The 23,328-nt window shown below is 41.6% G+C and overlaps 1 protein-coding gene and 1 long non-coding RNA gene across 2 annotated transcripts in view, besides 1 other annotated feature; one reads left to right on the forward strand and one right to left on the reverse strand.

Annotated features, from left to right (window-relative positions):
- Positions 4,705 to 7,496, forward strand: C3orf80 (chromosome 3 open reading frame 80). Its single transcript, NM_001168214.2, has one exon. It carries the CDS (start codon positions 4,919 to 4,921, stop codon positions 5,660 to 5,662), a length of 744 nt encoding a protein of 247 aa, NP_001161686.1. The 5' UTR covers positions 4,705 to 4,918; the 3' UTR covers positions 5,663 to 7,496.
- Positions 4,722 to 5,091: a silencer, noted in NCBI's record as "silent region_14854". NCBI's record gives its function as "represses an Ori minimal core promoter by ATAC-STARR-seq in GM12878 lymphoblastoid cells {active_cell/tissue: GM12878}" and the evidence as "EXISTENCE:reporter gene assay evidence [ECO:0000049][PMID:35858748]".
- The window catches only part of TRIM59-IFT80 (TRIM59-IFT80 readthrough (NMD candidate)), a 258,294-nt gene continuing 241,702 nt past the window's right edge, over positions 6,737 to 23,328 (reverse strand). Inside the window, exon 19 of the long non-coding RNA NR_148401.1 lies at positions 6,737 to 7,005. This is a non-coding gene — a long non-coding RNA (TRIM59-IFT80 readthrough (NMD candidate)). The remainder of the gene's footprint in view (positions 7,006 to 23,328) is intronic.

The following is a 23,328-nucleotide window of genomic DNA, read 5'->3' on the forward strand; positions in this document are numbered from 1 at the left end:
CGATCCCTTTGGCCTGTCCAGCTCAAATCAATAAGGGAGTGAGATGCCAAACCACTGTTTTTAACTAGATTTGGAGTTATAAGCCTTGGATTCCAGTGTTAGCACCACCACTAATTTGCCCTTTGATTTCGCTGTTTTAGCCTATCTTCATTGGTGAAAAGGGATAATAATAACTTCAACCCACCTCACAGAAATGTAGTAAGGAGGAAAAAAAAATCAATGCATGTGGAAGTTCTCTGAAAAGCTAAAAGGCCAAATATAAACATAGATATTATTTTTATAAGGGCCTGGAATTACTCAACCTTTTGTTTCTAACTTCAAGCTTGAGAAAAAGCTTTCTATTTCCTTCTGCTCCTAATTTGGACAAAAGATACAAAGCATTCCACTTGGACTTTTCCCCTTCTTCAAGCATTTGGCTTGCAGAAGCCTTTTGTCAACCAACTCATAAAGTTGAAAGGGGAAATCTGAACTCCACTCCGAGTCTGGGGTGTGGAGGTGGAAATAACAGGAAATGTCACTAGAACTTTCCTGGTCTCCAAGGGGAAACCGGGCAGGACCAAATACAAAGATAAGTACAACCACACAGCCTGTTAGACCACTGCAGAGAATGAGGTTTGGTTTTAAAGTTGGATGGCAGCAGAGGTGGCTTGACTCTACATAAAGCTAATCTAGCAGCAGAGTCAAAATTGTTGGGATAGGAATTATACAAGTTTTGCCTCAGTCATAAGAGATGACACATGAAGTGTCTTTCTACCTCGGAGACTCGTGTCCATGATGATTCCTCTGCCCAGAGGACCCCTTTTTTGCTTCCCCTTGTTGTCCTTTTTAAGGAGGTCTTTCTTAGGGACGTTTTTCCACCCAATGCCACTGCCCTAACCCAATCCAGATCATGTCCAGTGCAAAAACTCAGAGCATCCTGCACTCCTCCAGGTATGCATTGATCATTGGAATGATCAGTTCATTATTTTGACTGTTTGACTATTGTTCTTTTCCCCCTCCCCTAATAAGATCCCTGAGGACAAAGAACCGTTTGATTTCATAGTATCCTCAGAGTGGAGCAGAATGCCAAGCTCAAAGTGGGACCTCATTAAATATTTATTGAATGAGTGATGAAAGAAATATGATCTGAAAAGAACTCCAAAGCAGATTATCTCAGATCTTACATCATTTCTAGGGAGGTATATTCATGCAAATATATGCTATTTACAATAAGCCTCTTAATTTACTGTTGCTCAGGGAAGACATGTGCAAGTGGAGGGAAATCATACAATGAGGAGGTTAAGAAATCAATTATAATAATTTAGTAGTAAGGTAGTATTCAGGTGTTGCACATCCTGAATAAGGGGTCCTTAAGGACTAGACAGTTTACAAGGTCCCAACTACCCATGCCTAGATGTTTTGAAGGAGGGACATGAAAAGGGCAGAGCCATCACTTCTCAGGCTTGAAGGCACAAGCAACAGTCAGCAGACATCAGAGAAAAACTTCCTTCTGGGCCTGTGTCATGTGATAGAACAGAAGGTTGTATGATGGAGCCACTAAGTCTTTCTGAAGCTATCAACACAGCTCCCAGAGACACAGGTAAAATAGCCAGTTTTGCTGTGTTCTGTTTACTTTCTTCTGTTCCAGAAAGTTGAAAAGTATGGCTAATTTGCATTCATATGGTGTGAATGCAAATAAATCAGGAAGAGAAAATGTTCAAAAACTATCATTCAAGCTCTACAGTATGGTGAAGAAGTTTAAGTTCTTAATCTTTATCATTAAGACTATGCTTTTTGGAAAAAGGTGAGTCCCCTCCCCCCACGTGTTGGTTTTTTTTCTCTCACTCTCTCTTGTTCTCACTTAACACATTTGGTGCAATTTTTTTTTTAACAAAATAAGGTTTTAATTTTTGCACTGTGGTCATTCTATGAAACATATCATTAAATTCCATCTTCCTCTCTAAGTGGCTTGAATTTGATTTTCTGGCAGCTCAATCTACCCCATTTATTTGTGTGTTGAATCTGAAGAAAAGAATAAGGATGCTGAGTAATGAAAATTGTGTCTTTTCTGGGGCTTTTAAAGCTATAAGGTTTCTATTCGTTCCTTTGAAATACTGTACACAGTAAATTACATTGCAAATAGAGATGAATTAAGTGAAACTGAGAGATCAGAGAAGAAATAAAGAGGTGCCAATTTCTGTAGAGGGTCTTGAATGGATGATACTATATACAATCTATGTTGTTCTTCTACTGTGTCCTACCTAATATTCTGCAAATTCTAACTATTTAAAGGTAGATAGAAATGAAACCATTTAAATGCTGCTTAATAATTTCAAAATAGCAATGAGCAGGGGACTTTCTCTTATGTGTCATCAGCCATATAACCCCCTTTACTTTTGCCACTGCTCCTGCTACTACTGGAAGAAATCCCAAAAACTCAGATAATCAAAACCCAAAGAGGGTTTATATTTTTTCTATTTCATATTCAAAGCCTATCTCAAGCTATGAACTGCCTTCATTCCTGAAATTGTTTGAAATTCACTAATTTTATTTTTCCTTTGGGAGAGAAAGAACAAGTCATGATAGAAGAGGAAACTGCCGTTTGTTGCCTTCTGTGCAACCTCTTACTCCATTTAGCTGAAGCTGGGAGTGCAGACCTGGGTTTACTCCATGCTGGGGAGGAGTCAGTATTTTTCTGTTACAATGAGCATCTAGCTGAGTTCCCTAAACATAGAAAATGTTCAATGTAAATTTAGCAAAAGAATGGGTGAATGAAAGAATACAATTTTCTGGCCAGGTGTGGTGGCTCACGCCTGTAATCCTAGCACTTTAGGAGGCCGAGGCGAATGGATCACTTGAGGTCAGTGGTTCAAAAACCAGCCCAGCCAACATGGCGCAACCCCATCTCTACTAAAAATACAAAAATTAGCTGGGTGTAGTGGTGCACGCCTGTAATCCCAGCTACTCAGGAGGCTGAGGCAGGAGAACCACTTGAACCCAGGAGGCAGAGGTTGCAGTGAGCCAAGACTGTGCCACTGCACTCAAGCCCAAGTGACAGAGTGAGACTCTAAAAAAAAAAAAAAAAAAAAAAAAAAAATTCACTGTATTAAAATGAATCATTTTCATCCTATGATTTTACTACAATTTGAAATCCATTGTCAATCAGGCTTTGCAAAATAGGTAATATGCCTCCCTATAAAGAGATCATAACAAATGTGCCTTTGAAGAACCTGAGAAAAAAGGGACCTGTGCTCAAGTAAGCGTTACATACCATATCTTGTCTCCGTAACACTTAGAAGCTTCTCTGTGAGTAGAAAGGATCATTTTAGAGTGTGAGGCAAAGTAAGGTGTTCACAGCAACAGATATGTTTAAAATGTTTCATTCAGGCTGAGCAATGACCTGTCTCAATCAAACCACCATTGCCAACCTTCTTGTTCCATCATCACTTTGTTACGGAGACATACGATGACTTACTCAGGGAGAAATCTTTGCTTTTATCTGATCCTCGGCTGAATCTTGTCTGCATATTGTTCCTTTGCTTTTACTGTTTTTCTCTCTGTGACTATGGAATTTTCCCTTTGGTTTCTCTTCAAGGGGTCCTCGTGTTTAAGGGGTGAGGGAATGATTGTCTACTGCAGTCTGCCTTAATAAAAGTGGCAAGCTCTTGGCTTCCCCGTGGTATGGCTCTATCCACCACGGGGGCAGAGCTTAACTACACCATGTAGATGTGCCTGCCAGTCAGGGACCGCTGTAACTGTCGCCCCTTACGTGTGCTGTGTGCCCTACCGGGCTTCCCCAGAGAATGGTGACAACCAAGGCAAGGTAAACCCTGTTCCATGTTAACTGGGAGCGCAGAATTCCTTTAAAGTCAAACTTTGCGAACAAGAATAATCTTGAAAAAGACCCTTTAGGCGCAAATCAACGCTCAAGAACGTTGCCAATCACTTGTAACCTCCTTAGGCATTTCACGGATGTGTTATTTATGCTCAAGGAGGGGTCTCCTTTCAGCCCGGCAACCCAAATCTTTGCTCTGTGCTTCGGACTCAGTGGGGGCTTGTCGGATGAGCCACTGGGAAAATATGCGTCCCCTCACTTCTCCTTAATCAACTAAGGTCACCTTGACGGAGCGCTTCCCTGTCCCTCTGGGGCTACCTCTGTGGTACCCTGACCTGTCCCTCTACGAGAAATTCTCTACCTGTTCTGGAGGTTTCCTGGGAATCCCGGGTTCCTAGCTCCCTGGACCTGCCTGCAAGCAGAAATATCCGCCGGTCTCCACCCCCCACCCCCAAACTCTGGGACAGCAGTGGGTACTGCACTAGCCATTAATGGCCATCATCTATTTTTAATCGGAAGATCACAAGAAAGATGGTAAGCGAATCCCAGTCGCAAGTCAATTTAAATAACATTCCTGGGGAAATCCAATCACTTAAAACGGAGACACCTACGCGAGCGAGAGCCCCCGCCCGTCTGGCGGGCCTAAGCGCGAAGGCTGAATTAATCAAGATCAAGGGGCTCCCGGGCTGAGAGCAGAGCGTTAACCCTTCCAGTCCCAGAGAGCGACAAGGCGGGGGAGGAAAAACGCGCCGGCCGGGGCCAAGATGCCCATGGCAGCCCCGCGCGGGCTGCCTCTGACATTTAGGGAGGCTCCGGAAGCCTTGCACCCGGCCCGGGCGGTTGGGCGCGAGAGGTTAAGGTCAGAAGCTCGGGAAGCTGCTTGGGCCGCCAGTAGCAGCCGCCTCCCGCAGCCTCCGCGCGCCGCGGGCTCCTCCTCCCGCCCAAGCGTGGCCAAGTGAGGACTGCTCCGGCCGCAGGTAGCTGAGGCGCGGGAGGCGGCGCGCGCGGGACCCGAGCGGAGCGCCGGGGAGGGGCCGACGGACGCGAGGGCGGACGGACTCCCCAGCCTCCCGTCCCGGACGTTAGCCGAGGTCTGCGCGGGCCATGTGGGGACCCGGGGTCACTGCTGAGGGCCTGTCGGTGGCTCCGGCGCCGCCGCCTCTGCTGCCGCTGCTGCTACTGCTGGCGCTGGCGCTGGTGGCGCCCTCGCGGGGCGGCGGGGGCTGCGCTGAGCTGGCGTGCGGCGAGCGGGAGCGCTGCTGCGACGCGACCAACGCCACGGCGGTGCGCTGCTGCAAGCTGCCGCTGCACGCCTTCCTGGACAACGTGGGCTGGTTCGTCCGCAAGCTCTCCGGGCTGCTCATCCTGCTGGTGCTCTTCGCCATCGGCTATTTCCTGCAGCGCATCATCTGCCCCAGTCCACGCAGGTACCCGCGCGGCCAGGCGCGCCCGGGACAGCGGCCCGGGCCTCCGGGGGGCGCCGGACCGCTGGGGGGCGCGGGGCCGCCCGACGACGACGACGACTCGCCCGCTCTGCTGCGCGACGAGGCGGCAGCCGGCTCTCAGGACTCACTGCTGGACAGTGGCGGCGGCGGCCGGGGCCGGGGAGGCGGCGGGCGCTCGGACCCCTCCTGCGCCTCAGAGCACGAGATGCGTGTAGTGTCGCCGGTCTTCCTGCAGCTGCCCAGCTACGAGGAGGTCAAGTATCTGCCCACCTACGAGGAGTCCATGCGGCTGCAGCAGCTCAGCCCCGGGGAGGTCGTGCTGCCAGTGTCGGTGCTTGGCCGCCCTCGAGGCGGGGTCGCCGCGGAGCCCGACGGCGGCGAGGGCCGCTACCCTCTTATCTGAGCGCTCGGGGATCGGCGGCTGGTGCAGGGCTGGGGGCTGCGGGTGGCAAGCAACGGCCGGGGTGCCGCCGCCAACTGCCTCAGACCTTATCTGGCACCCTGGCCTAACTGCCCGGCACCCCGCGACTGGGTTGGGGTCACTCGTCTCCCTCGCGTTCTCCCGGGATCTTATGTTTCTCTGCGTTTCATTCCGTTCAAAGAAACGTGGGGCACGCGCGGCGGGTGCGGCTGCAGCAGGCGACCCTCCAGCGCACCTTCGAAGGACGTCCCTGCCCTCTGCCTTGCCTCGTATTGTGGTTCACTAGTAAGTGCCTGCTTCCCTAGTCAAAGAGAACACGTGAGCCCTTTGGTGCGTCGAGAGAAGGGCGGTCTTCTTTAGGGCTGAGGAGAAAGGACCGCAGTTCCACTCCTTTCCCTACCTGCCGCCTGGACAGGTCTCCCAGGGTGGGCAGAGGGCGAGGAGCCGTTGAGGACCAGCCGCGACCAGGGACTGCTGCACGTGGGTGTGGGAGAGCGCCACTTGGTTATGATGAAATCGCTGCCATGCGGCAGACCCCCCAAAATCCCTCAGTGTCTTCCTGATCTAGCAAATAGTCACAGCTGGTGTTTCACAATTAGGTGGAGTGCGGGGAGTGGGCTAGGGGGGACACCTGTGATACAAGGTTAGCTGCTGTACCTACTCAGGGAACAGCAACCATGTATATCCATTCGGCTGGACTTTTGATTGTTCAATAACTGAGGAGGTATTTATATTTATTTGTCTTTTATTCTAATATTTTTACCATGCATTGAACGCAACAGGAGGGTATTTCAGCAAATTCACGACAAGGTAATCGTCTTATCACTTTTTGTAGGCCATTAATGGTCAGGAAATTGCCCATACTCTGTCATTATTGTTTAATAAATCATTAAATTATTTCATTAAAAAAGAAAAACAGGTATGGTCAAACGAGGAAGCATATGTGACATAAAAAACATGAAGGATATCTTATTTTCACTATTTGAGAAGAATATATTTTATTTTTAGTACTGTGGCATAATATATAACTTTTTATAATAATAACTGTATGCATTATGTAGTATAGCTTTTAATTGTATCATTCATCACAGTTATATGTAAAAATAATTGACATGTATATGCCATACCATGAAGCATATGATGTTGTGCACTTTCTCCTCCATTTTTCATTTGGAATACATTCCACAACATGATCCAAAACATAAGAACTTACGACTTGTAACTCGTTTAAAGCCATTAATTGTGCAGTAATGTGCTACAGGATTCAATCAGCTTCTCTTAAGAAACAAGTGTCATTGTATCAGTTTCCTGTTCTGTGACACGCCCTTTAAAAGTAAAAGATAATATAACATATTTTAATACATTGTGTGTAATGTACATATGCATATTGTCTATGTACTATATACACATTGTTTATAATATTGTTATTACAGTTTGTCATTCACCTGAAAGGAGAAGGAAAAGTACGAAAGGTTTCTCTGCTTGGGAAAAGGTGAATGTTGTTATATCAAGAACGATTACACACATGGATCTCATACATGTTTTTAGAACATTGTTCTTCTGATTGAAGAAGTCTGATGCTCCTGAAAAATCTTAAAATATCTGACTTGTATTGAAGAAAATTATTTAATTAAATTTTTAAAGGCTGGTTGAAAAAGTCTGACAGTTCTGAGAATTTTTTAAATGTCTGAATTGTAATAAAAAAATGGTTTACTTTAAACTTCTAAAAACTAATGACCTTGTGACTAAAGAAAAATCATTTGAAGTGTATTAAAAAATAGCAAAACATTAAAATCTTTTCTCTGTGCAAATTTTATCAGATGTGTGGCTATATGGTAGTGTATCAAAATATGAAATATGTCTATTTGTCATTTAAAGCAATTTGAGCTGTGAATTGACAAAAGTATCAGGAGTTGAGGCTATATCAGTTGAGAATGGTACAAAATTTAATTACATTATATAGATAATCACATATTAATGTTACTCAAATACCGTGTATTTTTGTTATATGTGGCTATCAATACTACTCACCATTCAAACAAACTGGAAAGTTGCCATATTTTAAAAAATAATTTATTCTTTGAGGTTACACTGTTTTACACAGTTCACAAATGTTACCTGTATCTGAAACATCAACCTAAATATCCAAATACCTGTGCCAGTATATGAAGCATAGTCTATATGTTGTTACCATAACATCTTAAAGAAATTCAACAAAATCCTATGAAAAATACTTACAATACGGATCAAGTATATTTCTCTTTTATCAACTATGGAATATTTCTCTCCCTAAAATCTAGAATGTTTATAAAGTGGTAATTACACTTGATACCAATCACACAATGAGGTTCTACTGAATTTTAAAATGACAAGTTTTCACCTGTTTTTTATCTGCCCAACCCACAAGCTTTTATTCACATCCCTCAGTTCAATAGAAATGAGTTTGACTCCACAGTGGGGTTTTTTTTCTTGCAATCTATTGATTTACCAAGGACAATTTTGTTCAGGCATAATTGTGTGGAAAAATTCTTTAAAACAGTATTTTATTAATAAATGAGCATGTCTCATGGTAATATATACACATATAACACACCATATTAACACACACAGAACCTGTGTGTTTATAACCTGCATTGCCTGGATAGAAACATTTTTAAAGCAGTAAAGGCAGTATCTGGGTGTTAAGTTTTATAGATTTCACTTGGAAATTATTATATAGACAGAACCTATTATATATAATTGCATGTGTTTATTAATATAGAAAATAGTTATCCTGTTACCTGAAAAAAACTCACAAAGAAATGATTTTACTTCTTTTTAATATTCTGTAGTAAAAGTGGAGGATAGAACATTGTGCTCTTTATATGTAGAATAATACACTATTAACTTATGGCATGACATGTTAATGGAATTAAGATGGAACATAAATTTTATGGTATATATATATCTTCTTTTTTTTTTTTTTTTTGAGAAAAGATCTCACTTTGTTGCCCAGGCTGAATTGCAGTGGCATGATCACCGCTCACTGCAGCCTTGACCTTCTGGGCTCAAGGGATCCTGCTGCCTCAGCCTCCTGCATGGCTGGGACTACAGGTGCACACCACCACACCCAGCTAATTTTTGTATTTTTTTGTAGAGATGGGGTTTCGTCATGTTGCCCAGGCTGGTCTCATTCTCCTGGGCTCAAGTGATCTGCCTGCCTTGGCCTCCCAAAGCTCTGGGATTATAGGCGTGAGCCACCATGCCCAGCCTGTGGCATATATATCTTAACTAAACCCACCTGGGCGTGCAGTGTTTTCCAGTACCAAGTGAGCTTTTGCTCCTGGTTTTCAGTTATCAAAGTAATTCGAATACTAAAACATTTTAAGCACATTTTATTTTCACTGACTTCTCAAGAGTAGGGAAATAATGGTCCTGCATATTGTAATCCATCTGGAATGCAAAAAACATGATTGATTTTCTAAATTTAGGTGCTAGATATATAAATATGTATATTGTGTATGTACAGTTGGTTCTCCTGTATCTGTGGGTTCTGCATCTGCAGATGCAACCAACTGCAGGTAGAAAATGTATTTTTTTAATTTTTTGAAAATATTTTTAAGAAAGAAAATATAACATTTAAAACTGCAAATTAATACGTTATAGCAACTATTTACATAACATTTATATTGTATTAAGTGTTATAAGTCATCTAGAGGCGATGTAAAGTATATGGGATGATATGCATAGGTTATATGCAAATACTACACCACTTTATATCAGGGAGCTGATTTTGACCTTTGCAGGGGGTCCTAAAACCAATCTCTATGGATACCTAGGGATGACTGTAGTGTGTGTGTGTGTGTGTGTGTGTGTGTGTAATCACCAGTTGATTACAAGCAATTTGTTATGGGTGTTCAATATCATAACCAAGGGGAAAATGTCTTCTTGAGATAGAATGATAGTTTTAAGAGGCCATTAATTGCTACATTCTGCAAATGTGAGTATGCTTCAACCATGGAAAATGGGCATTGGCAATTATGTCAAAGGGCATGAAATGTACTCTATAAGGAAAACAAGATTCAATTGTAAAGGCCAGAGGGAATATTAAGGAAACGGACTCAGTTAACAATTTGAAAGGCAATATGCTAAGTACCTTAATGTTGTACTTTTTGTATACAGTTTCTCTCAAGTGGAATTAATAAAGGAAACAATTCAAAGCTGAAACTCATATAAACATGAATATGATGTCTAGATTTATACAATATTCTGATCTGACTTTTATTAAAAATTTTATGAATTGTAATTAATTTGGGTTTCCAGCTTGAGAGAAATAATGATGTATGTTGAGTTTTATTTTGAGCAACAAACATTAACCATCTCTTCAAAAGTGTAAGTTTCCTAAACCAATCAATAGTAGAATATTTGGCAAGTTCATATCTGACCTCAGTAGTTTACAATTTACTTTTTCATTCTCCTTTCATGCATTGATGAAAAGACTAATAACTAAGGGTAACTAATAACTAAGGATAAACTAAGGGAAGGTATTTTGTCAACCAAGGAATGAATCAGCAACAGCTAATGGCAAAAACTTAAGCCATTCTTTCTTCCACATGGGTAATACCAGAAAAGTTACAGTATTCCTTTGTAAAATTTTGCCTGTAAAAATAATCAAATATCAAGTAAAACCAATACTTTTGTCATACTTAATTACATGTAGAACCTAATTTTATTATTCATTTATTCATTTTTATTTACAGAACTCACTTTTTAAATTTATTTATTTATTTATTTATTTATTTGAGACAATATCTTGCTTGCTCTATCACCCACGCTGGAGTGCAGTGGTGTGATCACAGCTCACTGCGGCCTCAACCTCCCAGGCTCAAGTGATCCTCCCTCCTCAGCTTCCTAGTAGCTGGATACAGGAGTACACCACCATGCCTGGCTAATTTTTAACTTTTTTTGTTGAGACAAGGTCTCACTATGCTGCCCAGGCTGGTTTCGAACTCGTGGGCTCAAGAAATCCTCCCACCTCAGCATTTGAAAATGCTGGGATTGCAGGCATGAGCCACCACACCCAGCCCACTTTTATTAATTTTATGGCAAAAATTATATGATGGTGGAGATACTTATGTTTGTCGCCAAACCAAACAGTATTTTTATCCCCTCTTCAGCTTCTTAGCTAAGTATCTTGTCTGATATCTTGCCGTTCTTACTTTCTTTTTGTGTGGTTGTTCTTATCCTGCTTGTCACATCTCTTAGAACTCCATGTTATTCTGCTGTGCTTTCATCTCTCTCTGGTATGGCTTCACCTTTTGCACAGTTTCTTCTTTTGGTAAAATGGTATTTTCCAACGTACTTCCTTTGTTTTCTCTTTGCATCCGACTTCTGTAGCTTTTCCATGTTGATCCAGGCATGGTTTTTCCTCTTTATCCACTAAAGGACTGTAAACTTTTTTTATTTGTTATTATCTATGGAGTTTTTCTCTGTGATGCCGGACAAACAAATCTTTTCATGTGTCCAGCAAGGATTGTTCTAAATCTCAAATGTAATAGATCCAGATGTACTACTACCTCTTTATCTTCTGCTTTCTCACCTGGATTTTCCTGAAGGGATTATCAGCACTTTTCTCCCCATCTTTCCCCAAAGACGTGTTCTCTGCTATATTAGGACAAATAATTAGACCCTTGCATTTTAGTAATGACAGGGATCTTATTTTGGCTTCCAAACCTCAAGCATATTCTTTCTTCATGGACTATTACATCTTTCTACTCGATTTTTTTCTCACAGGCATCACTGTGGTATCCTCTATGTGTGTCACTTTTTGTGAGTAATGATCACCTGTTTTCTTACTATCCTTGCTCACAGACATTCTATTTGTTGTACTAGTTAAAAGATCATATCCTCTATCTTTGTAGGAAAGACCTCATTTGAGTCACTGGACCTCAAAGGTAACTTGATTTACAATTGATTGCTCTATCTTTTATAACATTCTTACGGGTTTTTTGCATGGGCTCCTCTTAAACTTCCTCTGCATATGGTATCTCTTTTACTGGGTAGACTAGAAAATATCTCTACCTTTACATTTCTTTTATTCCTGCTTGCAGATATAATCTTGAAGTTATGCCTCGAATCCCCACTGTATTAGGACCTTATCTGAAGAACTATCAATAGTTTTATTTTCTGCCTCTTTGTTGCCTAAGTTAGTTTCATCAGACAGAGGATTAGAACCTTCCAGATTACTCCTGTTTCATTTTGGTTTGTGTGAAGTTTTTCTTCTGTATTGACCAAAGATACCACCGGATAAAAATTAATTTTGATTATTTTTCTAAGTCTTAAAAATATCTTCTTTCCATTTGTAGATTTAAATTTTTATTGCAAATTCTTCATTAGTTTGTCATTCTTTTCCATGTGTATAATCCCTGTTGAACTAGCCAAACCATCAGATTCCTGAAGATTTATACCAGTTTTACGTTCTCCCATCTCACTAACCCCCTCCGCACCCCCCCACCCCCCACTATGTTACACTCACTGTCTTTTGTTTCATAGCTCCATGTTCTGAGTTTTTCTCTTAGAAACTCTTCACAATATTCTTTTTTTGTTTTTTGAAACAGAATCTCGCTCTGTTGCCCAGGCTGGAGTGCAGTGGCACTATCTCGGCTCACTGCAACCTCCGCCTCCCGAGCTCAAGTGATTCTCCTGCCTCAGCCTCCTGAGTAGCTGGGACTACAAGCATGCACCACCACACCTGGCTAATATTTGTATTTTTAGTAGAGATGGGGTTTTACCATGCTGGCCAGGCCGGTCTTGAACTCCTTACCTCAAGTGATCTGCCCGCCATGGCCTCCCAAGGTGCTGGGATTACAGGCGTGAGCCACCACGCCTGGCATCTTCACAATATTCTTTTAAACTTTATTTACTTGAATCTTTTCTGTTGATGTAAGCAACTGAGACTCTTGCAGTTTTTATCAGTTCTGTATTTGGGTCTAGGATGTGGGGACATTCTCTGACTCAGCGTTTTTGAAAATTAAGCTTATGGCCAGGCACAGTGGTGCACGCCTGTAATCCAAGCACTTTGGGAGGTTGAGGCAGATGTATCACCTGAAGTCAGGAGTTCAAGACCAGCCTGACCAATATGGTGAAACCCTGTCTCTACTAAAAATATGGGCATGGTGGTGGTTGCCTGTAATCCCAGCTACTCGAGAGGCTGAGGCTGGAGAATCACTTGAACCCAGGAGGTGGAGGTTGCAGTGAGTGGAGTTTGCACCATTGCATTCCAGCCTGTGTGACAGAGCAAGACTCTGTCTCAAAAAAAATAAAAAAGCTTATATTCCTTTATATTAATTTCTCTTTGCACATATCTGTTTGGCTAGGCAAAGGTTTTAGATTCTTGAAAATCTTTATTTTTTAGGGTAGATCTGGTTCTTTGACTAGCTCAATCTTGCATGTTCTTTGGCCATGTCTCCAGTTTCAGAAGCATTAGTTTTAGATTCATATTAACAAGGATTACAAAAGAAGTTTTCTTGACAGATCTCCTGGTCGATTCTTATTTTTGTTCATTGGATCAAACATTTCTTCAAATCCATTATATACTTCCAAACGATGTTTTCGTTTGGGTTCTGTCATAAGTGTTTTCATTCCAATAAGTCTTCAACTGCACTGTTCTTTTTTCTTGATGGTTTCAATAAGTTACTGATAACTCTTGCTTGCGTCAATGTTTTCTTTTGGTGTTTTAAAAAGTTCCATATGATTGTAATCATAATTGGTTCATCGCCTGATGCACAAGGGAGTTAATATGCAGAGACACCTGGTTGCAGCAGAGAAAGAGGTTTAATCATAGGGCCACCAAACAGAAGAGGAGATGAGAGAAAACCTCAAATCTGTCTCCCTGAGGATTTTGGTTTTGGAGTGGGCCAAAGTGTTGAGCTCGTTGATTGGTCAGAGTACAAAGGTGTGGTCATGGGGCAGCATCAGTATTCTTATGCTCATTTGGGTCCTCTGTGGTGGTCTTCAAACTGGTTGTCTCAGCTGTACTTCTGGAATTTAGGATCTGCTGAAGCAATTCTTAAACAAGAGTTTTATCATTTAAAGATCAGAAGTCCTATTTATGGAAAGAATGGGGATGCAACTGGTTAGTATCTAGTGCCACCCTGACTTTTGATTACAAGGAAGTGGGCCAAAGTACAGCCTGATTAATGCTTAATTGTAGCTGTATATCTGTCCAGAATTCTTGTTAACGCTGTAAGGAGGGCTTCATGGTCAGTTGACTAACCTTAAAAAAAGTTTTGTATGGTCTTCCACATCTTCTTTTGATTGAAAACTTGTACAATCAAATTTGAACTCTAAATAAAATCTCTGTATGTTCTATATATTTTTTTCTAGTGCTTGGCTTTCTTGAGTAGTATTTTTTTTTTCCAGACAGAGTCTCTTGTCACATGAGCTGGAGTGCAGTGGTGCGATCTCGGCTCACTGCAACTTCCACCTCCCAGGTTCAAGCAATTCTCCTGCCTCAGCCTCACAAGGAGCTGGGATTACAGGTGCATGCCACCATGCCTGGCTAAGTTTTGTATTTTTAGTAGAGACGGAGTTTCTCCATGTTGGCCAGTCTGGTCTCGAACTCCTGACCTCAAGTGATCCTCCTACCTCAGTCTCCCAAAGCGGTAGGCTTATAGGTATGAGCCACTGTGCCCGGCCATTGAGTAGTATTTTTCATATTTTTTATTATAGGTGTTTTAGCCAACTGGTTTTCTAGTTCTGTCTAATATAGTTGAATGCGTACTAAGGGTTTCCTATGAGCAAGCTTTTTAGAATTTGGAGTTTCTAAGATTCTATAAGCATTGGAATGTCTGCCAGATCTTCTACTAGATATACCTTAGAAATTTTCAAAAGTGTCTTGATGCCTGTAAAATTTTCTACCGATTCACATCTCCACAAAAGAGTTGTCATGAGGTTCTTGACACTTGTCAAATCTTGGTCAGGTGCAGTGGCTCACATCTGTGATACCAGCACTTTTGGAGGCCAAGGCAGGTGGTTCGAGACCTGGCCTTGAGGCCAGGCATTCAAGACCAGCCTGGGCAACATGGTGAAACCCCATCTCTACTAAAAATACAAAAATTAGCCAGTGTAATGGTGCACACCTGTAATCCCAGGTACTCAGGAGGATGAGGCATGAGAATCTCTCGAACCCAGAAAGCGGAGGTTACAGTGAACCAAGACAGCACCAGTGCACTCCAGCCTGAGCGACAAAGTGAGACTGTCTCAAGAAAGAAAAAAAAAATATTCTCCTTGTTTTCTTTTTTTTTTCTAGTGGAAACAGAATCCAACTGGGCTTTATTTTACTTTTATTCCTTTTACAAATATTTCTTGAGAACATACTAAGTTCAAGTCACCGTTTTCATCTTTTTCATTTTTTTACATTTTAGTTGACATATAATAATTGTACATATTTATGAGATACATAGTGATGTTATGATACCTATAATGTGTGGTGACCAGACCAGGGTAATTAGCAGATCATCATCTCAAACATTTATCATTTGTTTGTGTTGGGGACATTCAGTATCCTCCTTCTAGCTATTTGAAACTATTTATTTCTGTGTGTGTGTGTGTGTGTGTGTGTGTGTGTGTGTGTGTGTGTCTTGCTATGTTGCTCAGGCTAGTCTCCAACTCCTTTACTCAAGTGATCCTCCAACCTTGGCCTCCCGAAGTGCTGGGATTACAGACGTCAACGACTGCGCCGGCCTTTATTTCTTTAGGAGTTTTGGTCTATTGGTGCCTGTCAGGTCTTCCATGGGTTCAATCTTTTTCACAGAAGTTCTTAGAAATTTCTTGATTGTTGTAAGAAGTCCAGCTGATTCGCACTGAGCCCTGGGTACTGTCCCAAGTTTCTTGTTGATTGTCCTCTGGGTTGGCAATTGGCTGTGGAGTTTTCCCAAGGCCCTTGGTTTCTGTTGGGTCTTCCGCCAGTTCTGGCTTTTCTTTAGGTATCCTAAACAATCTCTTGCTCCCTGTGAGGTTTCACCATTTCCACTTGGCAGATCTGGGGTTCTTGTTGCTTTCACTCTCTAGCTGTGCTGTCTGCTTTGGCATTTTCATAAGCCCTTTGATGCCTGTCAGGTTTTCTTCCTGACTGCATTTTCCCCAGTCATCCCCAGCAGTCTCCTGGGTTTGTGCTTTGAAGTGTTCCTAAACTTTCTGTTGACATCATCAACATTTATTTGTTCCTCTAGTTCTTTCGGTGTTTACAGGAGCTCTCTGATAGCTGCCAGTCTTCTGTGGGTTTTGGTTTTATTTTAAGTGTCCTGGCATTTTCATGAGAATTCTTAGAGTTTCCGCTGGTTCTGTTTTGTGCTTTGGAGTGCTCATAAGATTTCTATGGGTGTTTCACCACTTAATTTGTTCCTCTGGTTCTTTCAGTGATTGTGGGTGCTCTCTGATACCTGCCAGGTCTTCCACAGCTTTTGCCTTTTCTTCAGCTCTTTTCATCAGTCTCTTGAGGAATGTTAGAGTTTCTATGGGTTCCCTATTATGCTTTGCAGTGCTCCTAAGATTTTTATGGCTACCTATTTTAGTAAACATCTGTAATCAGTTGTAATTAGTAATTTCATTAGTGAATTCCTGAAATTTATAGTTGCTGAGTTTGAACTCTGGCAATTCACTTTGATAAGTTAAATATCATTATTTCTAGCTTGCTCTGATTTAACATTCGGTAGCATTTACATTTTAGCCTTTCTTCCAAAAAATAAAATATAGGCATTCATCCAACTTTAGATATAAGCTCAACATTTGCTGTGAGGGTGACACTTTTCATTTCTATCATGATGACTATAACAAAAATAACTATAATTCACTGAATGAAGACATATGTCAGGCACTGTTCTAGGCACTTTACATGTATTATTTCACTTAAAATTCACAACAGGAGGAAGTGAGGATTATTAACCCCATTTTACAGATGAGAAAAGTAGGGCCCCAAGAGGTTGAGTAATGTGCCCAAAGTCACACGACTGATAGGTAGAAGATCCAGGAAGCTGATCCAGCCTGTTTTACTCCAGAGCTGCTGTTCTCAACCACTCAATGTCTCAACACACAATTAATTTAACCTTGCAGAATATATATATATATATATATTTTTTTTTTTTTTTTTTTTTTCCTGAGAGTCTTACTCTTTTGCCTAGGCTGGAGTGGAGTAGCACAATCAAGGCTCACTGCAGCCTCAACCCCCCCAACCCCTGGGGCTCAAGTGATCCTCCCATCTCAGCCTCCCAAGTAGCTGGGACTATAGGTGTGTGCCACCACATCCAGCTAATTTTTGGATTTTTTGTAGAGACAGAGTTTCACCATGTTGCCCAGGCTGGAGTCTTGAACTCCTGAGCTCAAGCAATCTGCCTGCCTCGGCCTCCTAAAGTGCTGGGATTATAGGCATGGTGGCTGTAATTTGCTGTTTAAAGAAACCACTGTTAAAAACACCTTAGGATCTGTGCTGGGAATCTGTAATAATGACTCAAAATTATTTGTAGGCATGTAGAAATGTTTAATGGATAACATGGATACAATCTGAAATGTTTGACAAAAAACTACTCAGATACTGGTTTGGTTTTTTTGTTTGTGTTTTTCATTTTTCCATTTCATTCGGCTAATGGGCCGTTAGTACCAAGCGTGCCTCCTTCCCAGTCTGGCTTAGTTAACTTTAAAAATTGAAAACCATTTCTTTAAAATAGCTGGTAAATCTTTTCCAATATTTTAAAAAAGAAACATCAGGGGATTTGTATGCTCAGCATAAAAATGAGAACCATAGAGTCTAACATATCACTAAATACCCAATGGTAGCTAATATCAGAGCAAGGACAAAAATAGCACATTCTTAAATTAAGGTTCTGTTTATATTTTTGTGGTAGAATATGAATGTTAAGACTTCATATAGGCTGAGTGTGGTGGTTTATGCCTATAATCTAGCACTTTGGGAGGCCAAGGCAAGGACTGCTTGAGCCTAGGAGTTCAAGACCAGCCTGGGCAACAAAGTGAGACCCCACCTCTGTGAAAAATACAAAAATTAGCCGAGTGTGGTGATGCACACCTGTAGTCCTAACTATTCAGGAGGATGAGGTGGGAGGATCACCGGAGCGCAGGAGATCGAGGCAGCAGTGAGCTATGATCATGCTACTGTATTCCAGCCTGGGCAACAGAAGGAGACTCTGTCAAAAAAAAATAAACAAACAAACAAGAACTTCATATACATAGTGGTTTAGAGTTGGGCTGTGGAGTATGCAGAGTCTGCCTGCCTAGGTAAATCTCTGGTCTCTAGATTTACTAGTTATGTGACCGTAAGCCACATAACTTGTTCCTTTGTGCCTGGAACATCAGAATGTATTTCCAGTGCCATTGTACACATACTGGTTGACACTGCATTCTTGGTGTGAAATTCAAATCTCTTTGTGGAAATTCCAAAACTTTTCTAATTAGTCCTGGACATTAATGATTTGAATTAAGAAGAATAGAAACACATTTATGTAAAACAAAATATAATTAACTTCACTTAAAAAAGCCTACAAAATGATCTTCATGACTGATTTTGGTTGAAGTGACACACTGAGTTTAAGATTGGGTCAGAAAACAGAAATAATAGGGTTGGGGCAGGCAAGGAAGGACTAGATGTGACACACTAAATGAGACTGGAGGGGTTGAGTGTGGACACCTTGCTGTTGAGAAGCCAGTGTAGTGGGCGAATGGTAAGAAGAGCCAGAGAGATTGGCCATGGGAGTCAGACTGGCATACTGGGTCTTGAGGCCACAGAAGTTGTGGCAGGCAGGGAGGTGCAAAACCTGAAAGCCCTGCTTGTTTTCCCAGTGGGGTGGCCTGGAGCCTGGGGCGGGTCCTCAGCCCTGCTCACCTCCTGTCTGGAAATAAACTCAGTGCTATTGGAGGGGCATGTTGGGAGTGAGATGGGCCTTTCGGGCTGCATGGGAGCTGGGTGAGGCCTGTAACTGCTGGCTTTCTCTCACCTTCCTGGTGACCTGCATGACACAGCAGACGCAGCCATAATCCCCCTGGGAACATAACTCCATTGGCCTGAGAACCAGACCTCCATCCACCACAGCAGCCGAAGCAAGCCCTGCCCAAGGAGAGTCTGAGCTCAGACACGCCTATCCCTACCCCGACCTGATGGACTTTCTCTACTGGCCCTGGTAGCTGAAGGCAAAGGACATAATCTCTTGGTAGCCCTATGGACCCACCCACTGCCTGAGAAACTTATCCAGGTGACCTTAGGACAAGCTTGTATCCTCCCTATACTACTGTAGCTGATGCTCTTTATTTATTTATTTATTTATTTATTTATTTTGAGATGGAGTCTCGCTGTGTCACCCAGGCTAGAGTGCAGTGGCACGATCTCAGCTCACTGCAAGCTCCACCCCCTGGGTTCACACCATTCTCCTGCCTCAGCCTCCTGAGTAGCTGGGAATACAGGCACCTGCCACCACGCCTGACTAATTTATTTTTTTTTGGTATTTTTAGTAGAGACGGGGTTTCACCATGTTAGCCAGGATGGTCTCTATCTCCTGACCTTGTGATCTACCCGCCTCGGCCTCCCAAAGTGCTTGGATTACAGGCGTGAGCCACTGTGCCCGGCCGCTGATGCTCTCTTGAAAGCACCACCTCCTGGCTAGAGGCCAACCAACACAAAACTAGCGCAATAAACAACAACACAACAAAGGACCCTCACAGAGTCCACTTCACTCTCCTGCTACCTCCACTGGAGCTGGTGCTGGTATCCAAGGCTGAGAGACCTGAAGATGGATCACATCACAAGACGCTTTGCAGAGACTCCTCAGTACCATGCCAGAACCTGGTAGCTCTGCTGGGCAGCTAGATACAGAAGAGAATTAACAATCACTGTAGTTTGGCTCTCAGGAAGCCTCTTCTCTGAGCACTCACATCCTCTGAGCACGGGAGCACCGTGTGGGACGAAAGAATCTGAACAGCAGCCCTTGAGCCCCAGATCTTCCCTCTGACAGAGTCTACCCAAATGAGAAGGAACCAGAAAAACAATTCTGGTAATATGACAAAACAAGGTTCTTTAACACCCCCAAAAGATCACACTAGCTCACCAGCAATGGATCCAAACTGAGAAGAAATCTCTGAATTGCCAGAAAAAGAATTCAAAAGGTCAAGTATTAAGCTACTCAAGGAGGCACCAGAAAAAGGTGAATATCAACTCAAAGAAATTTTTTAAATGCTATAGGATATGGATGGAAAAATCTCCAGAGGAATAGAGAGTGTTATAAATAAAGTTTCAGTGCCTCAAAAGAAATAGCACTCGAATATAAAATTTTCTTTTTCTCAGCAAGGCAAGGTGCTTCTATAGAAGGGTGCGCCCTTACAGATGGAGCAATGATGAGCACACACTTGGACAAGGGAGGGGAAGGAGTTCTTATCCCTGAAGCACGTGGCCTCTGCTGCTGTGTTGTCCCCCTATTGGCTAGGGTTAGACTGCACAGGCTAAACTAATTCTGATAGGCTAATTTAAAGAGAGTGACGGGGTGAGTGGTTTGGCGGGAAAAATGGTTATGCAGCCTGGAGAATGAGTCAGGACGCAGCAGGTAGCAGGTAATTGGAATGAGTCAGGGTGGAGCAGGTGATTGAAATGAGTCAGGATGGAGCAGGTAATCGAAAAAGATTGCTTTATGAGGAAGTTAAGTTTAAAAGTAGAAGGCAAAGAATTGAACATACTGACATATTGATTCTTTGAAAAGAAATTTAGAACTCATATCTAACAAGCATAAATAAAAAACAATCACAACTTCTAGAATGAAGGAGACATTTAGAAAAATGCAAAATGCGGTAGAAAATCTCAGCAATAGAATCAAACAGGTAGAAGAAAGAACTTCAGAGCTTGAAGACAAGGCTTTCAAATTAACCCAATTCAACAAAGGCAAAGAAAAAAGAATTTAAAAAACAAACAAAGCCTCCAAGAAATTTGGGATTATGTTAAATGACCAAATCTAAGAATAATTGGTGTTCCTGAGGAAGAAGAGAAATCTAAAAGTTTGGAAAACATATTTGAGGGAATAATTGAGGAAAATTTCCTTGGCCTTGCTAGAGAACTAGACGTCCAAATACAAGAAGTTGAAAGAACACCTGGGAAATTCATCACAGAAAGATCATCATGTAGGCACACAGTCATAAGGTTATCTAGAGTCAAAATGAAGTAAATAATTTTAAAAGCTGTGGAGGCAAAAGCACCAGGTAACCTATACAGGAAAACCTATCAGATTAACAGCAGATTTCTCAACAGAAACCCTACAAGCTCGAAGGGATGGGGGTTCTGTCTTTAGGCTCCTTAAACAAAACGATTATCAGCCAAGAGTTTTGTATCCGGTGAAACTAAGCCTCATAAATGAAGGAAAGATACAGTCTTTTTCAAACAAACAAATGCTGAGAGAATATGCCACTACCAAGCCAACAGTATAAGAACTACTAAAAGCAGCTCTAAGTCTTGAAACAAATTCCTCAAGACACACCAAAATAGAACCTCCTTAAAGCATAAGTCTGACAGGACCTATAAAACAACACGATGTAAAAGAAAAAAGTTATTTAGGCAACAAATAGCATGATGAACAGAACAGTACTTCACATCTCAATACTAACATTGAAAGTAAATGACCTAAATGCTCCACTTAAAAGACACAGAATGGCAGAATGGGTAAGAATTCACCAACCAAGTTTCTCCTGTCTTCAAGAGACTCACCTAACATAAGGACTCACATAAACTTAAGGTAAAGGGGTGGAGAAAGATATTCCATGTGAATGGACACCAAAAGTGAGCTGGAGTAGCTTTTCTTATGTCAGACAAAACAAACTTTAAAGCAACAGCAGTTAAAAAAGACAAAGAGGGTCATTATATAATGATAAAAAGGACTTGTCCAACAGGAAAATATCACAATCCTAAATATATATGCACCTAACATTGGAGCTCCCAAATTTATAAAACAATTACTACTAGACCTAAGAAATGAGATAGACAGCAACACAATAATAATGGGGGAATTCAATACTCCACTGACAGCACTAGACAGGTCATCAAGGCAGAAAGTCAGCAAAGAAAAAATGAACTTAAACTATACCCTACAACAAATGGACTTTGCAGATATTTACAGAATATTCTACCCAACAACTGTAGAATATACATTCTATTCATCAACACATGGAACTTTCTCCAAGACAGACCATATGATAGACAACAAAACAAGTCTCAACAAATTTAAGAAAATTGAAATTATATCAAGTACTCTCTCAGACCACAGTGAAAAAAAATTGGAAATCAACTCCAAAAGGAATCCTCAAAACCATGCAAATACATGGAAATTAAATAACCTGCTCTTGAATGATCATTGGGTCAACAATGAAATCAAGATGGAAATTAAAAAATTATTTGAACTGAACAATAATAGTGACACAACTTATCAAACCTTTGCTCTGGGATACAGCAAAGGTGGTGCTAACAGAAAAGTTTATAGCCTTAAATGGCTGCATCAAAAAGTCTGAAAGCGCACAAATAGACAATCTAAGGTCACACCTCAAGGAATTAAATGATAGCAAACCAAACCCAAATCCAGCAGAAGAAAAGAAAATAACAAAGATCAGAGCAGAGCTAAATGAAATTGAAACAGACAAACAAAAATACAGAAGACAAATGAAACAAAACCTGGCTCTTTGAAAAGATAAATAAAATCGATAGACCAAGAAAAAAAGATTAACCTAGAAAAGAGAGAAGATCCAAGTAAGCTCAATTAGAAATGCAAAGGGAGATATTACAACCAATACAATGGAAATACAAAAGATCATTCAAGGCTACTATATATACCTTTATGCGCATAAACTAGAAAACCTAGAAGAGATGGATAAATTCCTGGAAATAAGCAAGCCTTCTAGAATAAACCAGGAAGAAATAGAAACTCTGAACAGACCAATAACAAGCAGCGAGATTGAAATGGTAATTTTAAAATTGCCAACAAAAAAAGTCCAGGACCAGACAGATTCACAGCTGAATCATATCAGACTTTCAAAGAATTGGGGCCGGGCGCGGTGGCCCACGCCTGTAATCTCAGCACTTTGGGAGGCTGAGGTGGGTGGATCACTTGAGGTCAGGCGTTCAAGACCAGCCTGGCCAACATGGCGAAACCCTATCTCTATTAAAAGTACAAAAATTAGCCAGGCATGGTGGCATGCGCCTGTAATCCCAGCTACTTGGGCGGCTGAGACAGGAGAATCGCTTGAACCCAGGAGGCAGAAGTTGCAGTGAGCCAAGATCGCGCCACTGCACTCCAGCCTGGGCAACAGAGCCAGACTACATCTAAAAAAAAGAAGAAGAAGAAGAATTGGTACCAATCGTATTAACACAATTCTACAGGATAGAGAAAGAGGGAATCCTCCCTAAATCATTCTATGAAGCCAGTATCACCATAATGCAAAAACCAGGAAAGGACATAACAAAAAAAAAGAAAAAAGAAAAGAAAACTACAGACACAAAAATTCTCAACAAAATACTAGCTAACCAAATCTGACAGCGTATCAAAAAGATAATCCACCATAATCAAGTGGGTTTCATACCAGGGATGCAGGGATAATTTAACATATGCAAGTTAGTAAATGTGATACACCACATAAAC

This window comes from Homo sapiens, chromosome 3, assembly GCF_000001405.40.
Source record: "Homo sapiens chromosome 3, GRCh38.p14 Primary Assembly".
Taxonomy (NCBI): domain Eukaryota; kingdom Metazoa; phylum Chordata; class Mammalia; order Primates; family Hominidae; genus Homo; species Homo sapiens.

What these genes read in the sequence shown, in the direction of transcription:
- C3orf80 (NM_001168214.2), top strand. Translation starts at nt 4,919, where the DNA reads ATGTGGGGACCCGGGGTCACTGCTGAGGGCCTGTCGGTGGCTCCGGCG.